General features: G+C 40.3%; 1 annotated feature.

Annotated features, from left to right (window-relative positions):
- Positions 10421–10921: an enhancer, noted in NCBI's record as "H3K27ac hESC enhancer chrX:103587712-103588212 (GRCh37/hg19 assembly coordinates)". NCBI's record gives its function as "activates a minimal SCP1, AML or CMV promoter by ChIP-STARR-seq in primed H9 embryonic stem cells {active_cell/tissue: H9 hESC(primed)}" and the evidence as "EXISTENCE:reporter gene assay evidence [ECO:0000049][PMID:30033119]".

Raw genomic sequence — 12590 nt, 5'->3', positions numbered from 1 at the left:
TTCCATCTCTACAAAAAATGCAAAAAAGTATCTGGATGCGGTGGTGCCCCTGTGGTCCCAGCTGCTTGGGGGGCTGAGGTGAGAGGATTGCTTGAGCCTGGGAGGCAAAGGTTGCAGTGAGCCAAGACTGCACCACTGCACTGCAGGCTGGGTGACAGAGTGAGACCCTGTCTCCAAAAAAAGAAAGAAAAAAATTATTTTGTAAAAGAATAACTAACAAATAACCTGTAAAAGTGGTCACCACATAATGTAATTATGTTATAAAAAAGCCAGTTAGAAAACACAGTATTTAATATAATCCTAATTTTGTAAAATGCATACATATGTGGGGGTGTGTACAGATGTATGTGTATGGATGTATGTAGAAAAGATTAGGAAAAAAAAAACCTCCAAAATGTTAACCATATTATCTCTGAGTATCAAGATTATTGGTAATTTTAATTTTCTTCGTTGTACTTTTCTGTACTTTCCACATTTTAAAAATGAACATGTGCTACTTTGAATCAGAAAAACACAATAAATGTTATTTTAAAAATTGAGTCCTTTGGATTTTGGCTCTTTTTTTTTGTGATTAAAAAAAATTTCACACGCCCATACACGGAGACAGAAGCCTCAGGGCGTACATGTCAGCTCTGGAAAATCTTTAAAGAAAAAAGTGCCATTTCAAGATAAAGTGTTGTTCATCCCATCTCTTCCTTTCAAACCTCACAGAAAATACATACTCTCCCTTAAAACCTCCCATCTCTCCTCATCCCATCTAACTCCATCCCTACCCCAAGAACAAATTCCATGTGAAAGGCCACAGTCCACAACCTGGCCAGCAGGCCTTGCACAACCCAAGCCCACCTCCCATCACTTTCCCTTCACACCTCACCTCACTCATCAATCCGTAGTAACACTGAACTGATGAATATACTGTGTTTCCTCACATTCCCATGCCTTTGCTCATGTTATCCTCTTTTCGAGGAACACACTTCCCTCACCTCTTCACCCAAATCACCCCTACTTCAAGACTTCATACATGTATCATTTCTTCTAGAACCCCTATCCCAGATCCCAAGACTGATTTGGGTGCTTCTAACGAGCTCTGGAATGACCCTATGCACACCTCCAAGTCCATACTATACTTCTAAAAAGCTATATGTACCAGTATTTCCTTGTGAGACTATAGATTCTCAAAGGGCTGAGATGATGTCTTACATACTTTGTATTCCCAGCACATAGCAACAGTGCTGAGCTTACAGTAGAGACTCAAGAACTGTTCAAAAAATTGAGGAGTATGCCCCCACCCCTCAGACAGGTGTCCTCTTTGAACACAAGCCCCACATCAATCTCATAAAATTAGGTAGATTACTGCTGCTCCATGAACCTTCTCTAAAATGAATAAGATCCACAAAGTATTGTCTCACTATATGTAACATTGGTCAGTTCCTCTTAAAGAATTTTAACCAGCCCAGGCTTCTGCACCTCAAGAAAAGCTTAAGAGCTACAAAGAAGTCACAGAAATGATCAAGAGAGTTTTTTTAAGTACCCCAAGGAAAATTTTAAAATTATAAGAGATATGGGCCTTTTAATCTATAATCTCTGCCACTCTTCCTGCCTGGTAGGAAAGGAGAAAGCCACAAGAGGTGAGTATTAAATGTCCTTGGGCAGACATGAAGTCTTGCCATTTAAAGAGCTGCTGGAGGAAAGTTTATCCTTCTTTAGCTCTTTAGGACCTTCAGGCTACCACGATCTACTAAGATGTCTGGCTGGAAGCCCTCAGCATCCAAAAGCAAAAGTGCAATGAGATAGGAGAGGAATTAAGAAATAAACTGGAATTAGGAAATGAACTTAGTAAACATTATGATGCATAAAGCATTGTCTTATAATTATTACAACAAATACTTGTAAAAACACTTTAACTTAATGTAAAGATTTTCTTGGTTGGAAAGAAAACAGCATGAAGTTAACACCTGGGTCTCATTAATATGCGTGACAACCTGTTTCCAAGATAAACAACAGCATTCGTGTAAACCATTTAATATAAAAGCCATCACACAGAGACATAAGCCATCCGAATCATGCTGAGTTTTTAATTTAAATTTAGTCCATAATTAGGCTGTTTAAGCAGAACATCAAAAAAAATTAAACATTTCAGTCTACATTAATTTTGGTTGGAACTTATGGAACTGTAACATTTAGCTGTGTAATTGAGAAGTAGTCTCAGTTTAGGAGTGAGGAAAAGCTTATGTCCATAGCTAACTCATGATATCCCAGCCCAGAAGCACAAAGTGTGGGACCTCAAAGGGTTAAAACATCCAGCCAATCCCTTGTGAGTCAATCACACCATGACTAATGTAAATGGGGTTGAACATGACAAAATCTGGCTCTGATTCATCGTTTAACACATTTCCCCTTATGTAACAGGCTGCCTCTAGCTGGTTAGCTCAGCATTGTGTTAGTTAGGCCAATAATAGCAATAATAGTTGTTGGTTAAACAGCACACTCTTTCTCACCCTTCTTCAGCTCCGCTCTGTATAGAAGGAGGAAGGACTTGACCTCTCCAAGCTGCCTTTCCCAGGTTCCCTTGTTTGTTGCTTTCTAGCTAGGTTCAGCCAATGAGAGGTATTGGAGGGTGACTGAAAGCAGGAGCAAGTATTTCTCTCCCTCCCTCTCCTCTGAGGGTGGCATCTCCTATACCAGTTAAATCTTCCATGTGGGTTCAGTTCCTGACAGACATTCTCACTAAGGTTCTAGCTTACCTCACATGACCAGGCCTCCGGGTTCTGATAACACCATCCCCTGCCACTGTCCTTCAGAGCCCTAGCTCTGCTGTTGCAAATCTATGGGTTACCTCGCCATCCCCTGTTTGGTTTCTCAGCTCCTTTATTACCAGTTCCCTGAATTAAATTCTCTCTATTGTCAACCAATGAAGTGATTTCTATTTCTAAACCTTCACTGATGCAAAGCTACCATGTGTTAGGCACTACAATAAGTGTTTTGAATACATTATCTGATTGAATCCTCACAATTTACCCTAAAATACAGCCCACTATTATTATCCCCATTTCAAAGATGAGGAAACTGAGGCACGGAAATGTCGAGTAATTTGCCCAAAATCACACAGCAAGTAAGTGATGGATTTGAACCCAGATCCATCTTTATGTTCCATACTAAACCTCTACACAATGCTATATTGAACTAGATAATTTCAAAGGTTGCTTGCAGCTTTGACAGTCTATGAAGCCAGTCATTCATACATTTACGCATTCTATGAATAGTTACTGAGCACCTACTCTATGCTAACCACTGTTTCTAGGCTTTAGGGAAATATAAGAGTAAAAAAGCCCCAAATTCTTTCTCTTTATTGACTTTTGATTCTAGTGTATAGACACATACAATAAACAAATAATTAATACCTTAAATATGTCAGCTGCTGGCCAAGTACTGTGGAGAAAACATGAGTACAGAGGAAGGATAAAGAGCGCCATGGCTGGGGGAGTGGGGGTGGTGGGGGGGAAAGAGTTGAAATTTTAATTTTCATAAAACTGGTCGTCCTATCTGCATTTCCCCTTTCATGGACATACTAGATAAATGACCAATACAAATGGATGGTGGAAACATTTCTTCCTAAAGATCCAATTGAATTAAATTAAACTCAACAAATATTTACTAGAACCTTCTATAGTAAATATTCTCTTAACCAATTCTCCACTTAACAAATTGTAAAACCTACTGACTAATGTGTGAAGTGCACTGAGCCTTTGTTTTTGGTAGGTTAATCGCCAGTTTTTCCATTTGCATCAGCTCCCAAGCATAGTGCTCTGGGCTTACCAAAAGTCAGTCACGTTTGTTTCCAAAACCTGCTTCTGCCAATTCTACTTGCCATTTGATTGTGTAGTTTAATAAAACTTTACGCAAATTTTTAAAGTGTTCGTGAGAAAAGAGAGTTGCTTCTATGAAAAAATTACATGAAAAGATTTGGAAAGACTAGTTAAAGGAGAGTCACTTAAAAATTACTGTTCAATTAGTTGTGTGTGAAACAACTATAAAGAATTAAGGAGGGGCTGGGTGAGGTGGTTCATGCCTGTAACCCCAGCACATTGGGAGACTGAAGCAGGCAGATGGCTTGAGCCCAGGCTTTTGAGACCAGCCTGGGCAACATGGTGAAACCCTGTCTCTACAAAAAATAACAATAGAATACAATAAAATAATTAGCCAGGTGTGGTGGCATGCACCTATAGTCCCAGCTACAAAGGAGGCTGAGGTGAAAGGACTGCTTAAGCCCAGGTGGTCAAAGCTGCAGTGAGTGAAGATCACGTCACTGCACTCCAGCCTGGGCAACAGAGTGAGACCCAGTCTCAAAAAAAATAGTAATAATAAGGACAGAATTATTACTTATGATTTTGCAATTATCTTTAGGAGCTCACTCTACTTTAAAGACACTGCCCTGAAAATCAGCTGATACCCTATAGGTGTAGTTTCTGCACACACACACACACACACACACACAAAGAAAGAAAGAGAGAGAAATCATAAAACACCAGTCAATGGGCTCATCTTCAAAGAAAAGGGCTTGGTCAGTCCTAAATCAAAAGATCAGTTAATAAGTAAATATTTATATATATTGAGAAAAATATCACGCTTAAAGTACCATGTTTGATTAATATTTTCCTTAATCTGACTTTTTCAATTAACTCAGTGAAAAGAATCAATTTAGATAAGAGGGCTTCTAGTCAGGGCACGGTGGCTCATGCCTGTAATCCCTGCACCTTGGGAGGCCAAGGCAGGCAGATCACCTGTGTTCAGGAATTTGAGACCAGCCTGGCCAACATGGTGAAACCCCGTCTCTACTAAACATACAAAAAATTAGCTGGGCGTGGTGGCGCAAGCCTGTAATCCCAGCTACTCAGGAGGCTGAGGCAGGAGAATCGCTTGAACCCAGGAGGCAGAGGTTGCGGTGAGCCAAGATCGCGCCACTGCACTTCAGCCTGCGCAACAAGAGTGAAACTCCATCTCAAAAATAAATAAATATAAAAATAAGAGGGCTTCTATGTACATTCAAAATACTGTGTTATAAATTTCAGATAATAAAGATACCAAGGAGTTGACAAAATCCTTTTTAAGTTTGGAAATAACCAGAATATGGATAAAGTAAGCCATGCCTTGTTTACCTTAAAATAAGGTATTATTTGCCTTAAAATGCCTCAGAAGTGCCTAACATTAGTAGGCAACTAGCCCAAAGTTTCTACTTTGTAATGTAATGTAATGTAACTCCCATCATTGATTGGTACAGGGTGGGAGTGAAAGGGCAAGGCAGTTACTTCTCTACATTATAACCATGCGAAAAGTACTCCATTCTCCTGCTTAAAAACCTTTAGTGTCGACCTACTGCCTGAAGAATCAAGGTCTGATTCCTTATCTTAGTACTCACGATCTGCCACAAGTTGGCCACAACCTAACTTGCCAGTTTCATTTTAGGCTATTTGCAAATGCCCCCAAATGAGCTGCATTACTTGCTCTTTGAATATGCTATGTGCCTACCTGCAGGCTTTGTGATTTTGCTTAAGTTGACCCCACTCCCTGTTGACCTTTGAAGGTGATATCCCTGCTCCTCCTATGCCCTGCTCCTTCTTCCTCTGGCCCCTTGACTATTTCCACCTGTAGAAATTATATTCATCTTTCAGTGCTCTTTTCAAATGCCACTTCTTTATACAGCCTTTTCAGATTCTCCTTCACCATAAAATGGGTATGGCTTCAGCCACCTCAGAACTAACTGACCAAGTGTTTTCTCTTCTCTTGTGGTTAGGGTGACCACAACATTTATCGTTAAAACCCGGACATTCTTAAGAGTAAAAGGGTACACCAGTAAGAATTACACCATGACAACAGACATAAACCAGACCTGTTCCAGGCACACCCAGGACTGACGGACACACTGACTGCCTTGCCCTTTCACTCCCACACTGTACCAATCAATGACAGGAGTTACATCACATGAGTTATGTCTATCTATAGACACAAACTTTGTGCCAGTTACTCAGTAACGTTAGTTAGGCACTTCTAAGACATTCTAAGGTAGTGTTAAATGTTCAGTTCCTCAACTATGATTGCCTGAGTTCAATTCTTTATCTCTACCACTACCTATGTTCTTTGTCTTGGACTAGTTACTTAAGGGTACTCTATGCATATGCATATGAGTTGTGGCGTCAAATAAAATCACCAATCTCTAGTTGTGTGACCTGGGTCAAGAAATGTAACCTCCCTGAGGTTAAATTCTATTATTAATATAGGTTGGTGCAAAAGCAAAATACGTGCTCAACAAACAGTTGATTCAATTTATATACAGATAGATTTTAGTGGATTTTTCAGACTGGCAGAAATAACACCCTTCCTTCCTTCCTTCCTTCTTTCCTTCCTTCCTTCCCTCCCTCCCTCCCTTCCCTCCTTTCCTCCCTCCCTCCCTCCTTTCCTTCCTCCCTTCCTCCTTTCCTTCCTTCCTTACTTCTTTCCTTCCTTCCTTCTTTCTTTTCTTTCTTTTTTTCAAGACAGAGTCTGGCTCTGTCTCCCACGCTGGAGTACAGTGGCATGATCTTGGCTCACTACAATGTCCACCTCCTAGACTCAAGAGATCCTCCTGTCTCAGCCTCCCAAGTAGCTGGGAATACAGATACGCACCACCACGTCCAGCTAATTTTTGTATTTTTGTAGAGGCAGTGTTTCACCGTGTTGCCCAGGCTGGTCTCAAACTCCTGTGCTCAAGCGATCTTCCCACTTCCCAAAGTGCTGGGATTACAGGCGTGAGCCACCGTGCCCAGCAAATAACACTATTTCTAACACTGTTTCTGTGAGAAAATGTTTTCAGAATTTCAGGAGGGAGCAGAAGACATCTTACCAAAAAACTTCTGAAACACTTCTTACTCATTCACTCATTGAAAGTTGAAACCAGAACAAAAATCTACTACTATCCTGACATGTTTCAGGCAGAACAAAGAATATATTTTGCTTCTGTGTCTTTGGCAAGCACACCATGTCTGTGATTCATTAGTGTCACAGGAGCGACTGAAATATTTTGGTTTCTATCTCAGTTGAAAGAAATATTGTCATTTCTCCAGTGCAAAACATGAAATGCATTCTGATAGTTCCTTTAAAAGTCCTGTTCTGATTAGAATTAGCATATCCATTAGTAACCATCAGAGGTGAAACACTTGGCTGAAACAAATATATTCATAAGCCACATAATTCTATGCTGAAGCCTTAATGTAACTTCATCCTGAAAGCCCATTCCAGGTGAGCATCTTACAGGTGTCTGAGTACTGCTGAGGACTCAGCAGGACTATTCCCTCACTCCCACAGGGCTCTCATTTCTACCTAGTACTCAAAAATACGGCCCCAGTTGGCCCACATGGCATGGTGGAGAGAGATCGCCAACCTCCTCATGTTATGCAGTCCTCACATCATATTAAAACCACTCCTGCTATGAGGCACTTGTGCAAACACTCCAGGCATTTCTGGGGTTATAGGCTGGTGACCAGGTGTTTCCACATTCACACCTTGGCTTCAGCAAAGCCAATATTTCTATTTAGAGAAAATGTCTTTAATTGTCTAGTATATGAGAGACTTTTTGGATGCTTTCAGAAAGTGGACTCAATACTACCTTTCTAAAAAGATAGAATGATGGCTTGGGCTTCAGTTCTAATATTTTCTACATATATCCAAAACTATAAATCAATATGCAGGGAAACATGTAAGTTCTAGAACTGGTTGTGTTAAACTGTCGATGTATTATATAATCATTTATCCCCAACCTGGTTTGATGTAGATCCTGGGTCAGTCTTAACTCCTAAGTCTTATTATGTAGTGCATACCCCCAAACATTCTTAACCAAAGGCTACTAAATACAATTTAGTCTTTTCTGGATGCACCACTGTCTTTACAATGAATGGAAATGATTGCATTATCCTATAAATTTGTAATACAAAACAAGATTATAATATTAATTGTTCTTATGCTAAGTGCCCCTAGACTATGGTACTTTTTGAGATTCTATGGCTTATTTTGCTGTTTACTTCCTCACTTACAGAAATATAAACTACCATCTCTTACTGTTGTCAGTTTGCCTTCAAGCAGCCTTTCCTTTTAATTTGCTTCAAGCATTCATTCGTTGAAAAACATTTACTGAGTGCCAATCATGTGTCAGGCACCATGTTGGACATGGGAGATATGACAATAAGAGAAACAGTCTCTGACACCTGGGAGCTCACAGTATAGTTAAATAGTCAGATAAGTAAAGAGGCAATTATAATACTGTGTGATATGTGCTACGATAAAAGTAAACGCAGGGCACTATAGGGACATCTAAGAGGGGTTACCTAATCTAGATAGGATGGGGGATGACTTGGGATGTCAGTGAAGTCTTCCTGCAGGAAATTATCGCTAAACTGAGTTTTGAAGAAAAATCAGAAGTTACTCAAAATGTAGGAGGTTAAAGGTGATTTACTAAAATGGTACAGCAGCATATGCTGATATGGTAATCCAGGCAAGAGGTAACATGGTCTTGAATGGTAGTAGCAGCTCAGATGGAGAGTAGGAGACAGATTAGAGAGACATTTGGGAGACATTTTTCAACACAACTTAGTAATGCATTGAATGTTGGGGTGAGGGAGGGATAGAGTCTAGAAATAAGCTTGGGTCATAGGGCAAACAAAGGAATCACTGAGCAGGATAAAAAAATACAGAAGGAACAAGTGTGAAGAACAAGATAACAGCTTTAGCTTTGAACAAGTTAGGTTTGGGTGGATATTTTCAGTAGTCAATTTGATATATGGAATCTGATGTGCAAGAGAGAAAGAGATGCCAAGCTTTTAATCTTGTGGGTTTAAAAAAAAAAAAAGAAAGCCAAGTTCATTTAATCTGTGCATAAAATAAGAAAAGTTGCTGTGACAGAGGACCTGAGGACTTTTTGGCAACACTTCTGTGTGTCTAATCAGCATCTCAAACGTAACATGTATAAAGCAGGTTTTGATTTCCACTCACACCCCAACATATTTCTCTTCGAGTCCTCATCTCAGCTAATGGCACACCACTGCCCACACAGCTGCTAAATCCAAAAGCCTAGAAGTTATTCTTTAAGTCTTTCTCCCTTACCTTCCATATCCAATCCACCTGCAAGTCTTGTCAACTCCACATCCAAAATATATCATACATTTATTCACTTCTTTCCATTTCCATTTCTCCTACTCTAGTCCAAGCCATCATTGTCACAGGCCTAGACCACTGCAAAAACAGCCTAACTGACCAAGCTATCACTACTCTTGCCCAAACAAGCCAAGGTGGTTCTGACTTTAGGGCCTCTGAATTTGCTAATCCCACTGTCTGAAGTTCTTTCTCCTGACCCTCCACTCCTTTTTCTTGTTTAAATCTCAACTCAAATATCTTATTCTTAGAAAGGCCTTCCTTGACTACCTTGTTGATTCTGGCCTGTCTTCATCACACAAGCAAACAAGTCACTCTGTCACGAAATCCCATCTTTCTCCATAGCATTTTTCTGTTTATGAAAATCATCTTCTAGGTTGCCTCATTTATTATTAATAGTCTGTTTCACATCCCCACCCCAACACACACATTGGAACATAAAAAGAAGGCAGGATTTTTTATGTTTTGCTCACATTTATATTTACATCTTTAGCACTTAATAAATGCTCAACAAATACTTAAACATAGAATGAATGAAAGTATTTTTATCATCCAGAGGCCTTGTGTTTCTCACTGCCTGTTTCTGGACCATATTGTTTTATTCTCTATATATCAAGAAAGCATAAAGGCACAAGACTGATTTTCTTTCTTTTCTTTTTTCTTTTTTTTTTTTTTTTGAGACAAAGTCTCACTTTGTCACCCAAGCTGGAGTGCAGTGAAGCGGTCATAGCCTTGAACTCCTGGGCTCAAGTGATCCTCCCCACTCAGCCTCCCTAGTGGCTGGTGAGGTAGGAGGCTGGACAAACTTGTTTTCTGGTCACAACCTTGCTGACCGAAACAGGTTGTGATCCAGACAGGATAAAGTGGAAAAACCAGAAGAAACCAGCAGATGGCGACAAACACGATCCCTAGCGGCCCTCATTGTTCATTAACATAAGACACTCCCACCAGCCTCATGACAGTTTACAAATGCCATGGCAACAAACCAGAAGTTACAGCCTTTTCCATGGCAACAAAGCAAAAGTTGCTACCTCTTTCCTAGAAAGTTATAAATAACCCGCTCCCTCAATTTGCATTAACCTGCCCCTTAATTTGCATGTAATTGAAAGTGGGTATAAGTGAGTACAAATACAGTTGCTGACTCCGGGTGCACTGCCCACAAAGAACACGGAACAACAATAAAAGACTGTTGTCTAATACCACTGGCTCACACTTGAATTCTTTCAGGAGCAAAAGCCAAGAACTCTGGGCTAAGCCCCAGTTTTGGCACTTGCCTGTTCTGCATCACTGGGACTACAGGTGCATGCCACCAAGCCTGGCTAGTTTTTTGTTTGTTTGTTTGTTTGTTTGTTTTGGTAGAGAAGGGGTTGCCCAAGCTAGTTTTGAACTCCTGGCCTTAAGTGACTCTCCTGCCTCAGCCTCCCAAAGTGCTGAGATTACAGGTGTGAGCCACCATGCCTGGCTGATTTTCTTATTTGCTTCATAAACTGGCTCTGAATATATTAGACATTCACTCAGTAAAATATATAAAATTTACACTGTAAAAACAGATTTTCCAGAAATTAGTAATATGCCCTATGAATGTACTGTGAATTCTAATCTACTTGAATAATGATGGAAGAGAAAACCTTTGGTTATAATTTTCAGAATACACTGAAGCACAACAAAAGACATAAAGATCCAGAAATATCACTTAAATCTTCAACACTTTTCCACTTCTGGAAATTTTACTTCTGTGTAAAGAGGAGCCCATCAAAATGGAATTCCCCTTGAGTTTTCAAACTGAGATATAACTATTTCACTGACAGGCACCCTCTTGCCTGCCAGCTTCAGCCTCTGGCTACTACCCTGTGGGTAGGCACGCTGACAGAAATCATGACTTCTTTGTCACTTGCCTCAAAGAAATGGCCAATGAATCAAATATCATCCCTGCAAAGGAGAGATTTTAACCAAATTGCCCAAAGCCATTTGCATCTGTCCACTGTGCCTGGTGACCTCCCCAGACACGGATGTCCCAGAGATTGCTCTCAGATGCTACCACTGACCCAGGGTTGAAGGTCGATTATGTTTTTCAATCACAGTTAGATTCAATCATGAGACTATACATCTTCTGAGGGATTCAAGTCCTCTTGCCAACACTCCCCTTCCTGCCTGTATGCCTAGTTAAGTCAGAGTGGGCAGTGGGTGAGGCGCTATTCTTAGAGGTGCTAATGAATTAAGAAGTTTCTCATCGGAGTAGCGGAGTAGCGTAAGGATACTTTGCTCAGAGGCTTCCCTACTCCTAAATATCCTCTCAGTGCAACTGTTACACAATCCTATAAAATCATCTTATAAAACCAATAGAAGAAGTTCAACAATGAATATCTTATCCAGGGAATAGAATATCAATTGCTATGTTAATCAAGGCTGTCCTCTCTTATCGGGGCCAGAAAACTGCACTTAAAATAAATGAAGCTGAGTATGTTTACATGGGTGAATAGAGAGAGGTCCTTGAACCCTTATCTGATCAGGTTGTTTTCATAGCATATTTACCTCACTGGGTAAAGGCTTTCCCTGAAAGAAGTACATCCTGAAAAAAACTCTATTCCCTATGTAAGGAGTGACAGATCCATGGTCAGAAATGCTCTCAAGTGTGATAAAATTATACATGCTGCTCTGTTTGCTACAGATTCCATCGACAGGAAAAGAGGTAATGTAAATACCACTCTGCTGAAGCTCCTTATAGAAGGCGGCTGGAAAACATGGACTTGAAAGCTTACTGAACCCAAGGTTGCCTCAACATCAAGGAAGCTCTGCTTTACTGGGAAATAAGCTCTGTTTAAATCACTAGCATCAACTTCTATTTTCTAATTTATAGCCATCACAAAGTGTTTTGTTTTCTTTTGTTAGGCGTAGAGGAAAGAGATCTAGTATTATCCATCATTAAATCCTGACAGTTCTACCTTCACTATATATGCTAAATCTGACCACTTATCACCACCTCCAATGCATTTAGCCTGGTCCAAGCCACACTCATGCGTAGCTTGGATTACTGTAATAACCTCTTTATTAATGCCCCAGTGCTGTCCTAGCCCTCCCATCTCATTCTCCTCCCAACACTGTAACCAAAGTGATCCTATTAAAATAAGTTAGATCATGTCATTCTTCTACTCAAACATCCCATTCCAAGTTGGTCCCCAGCCCACTTGAAAAAAAGCCACGTTTCAATAGGAAGTAGCTACACTGGGAGTATAACCTATTCTATCTGTTTCCATAGCGTACTCCCTTATCCACAGCTTCTCGAAAGCTTTGAACTTTGAAGCTTCATTCAATTAGTTCCCATTTTTAATTGTACAATGCTCCCACCGCAGACCTGTACCATCTTGCTGCTCTATAGTACCCCAGAAGCCTCCTATGCCCTTCCACCTAGCCTT

The sequence above is a fragment of the Homo sapiens genome, chromosome X, assembly GCF_000001405.40.
Source record: "Homo sapiens chromosome X, GRCh38.p14 Primary Assembly".
Taxonomy (NCBI): Eukaryota; Metazoa; Chordata; class Mammalia; order Primates; family Hominidae; genus Homo; species Homo sapiens.
This window is presented reverse-complemented; position numbering and strand designations above follow the sequence as displayed.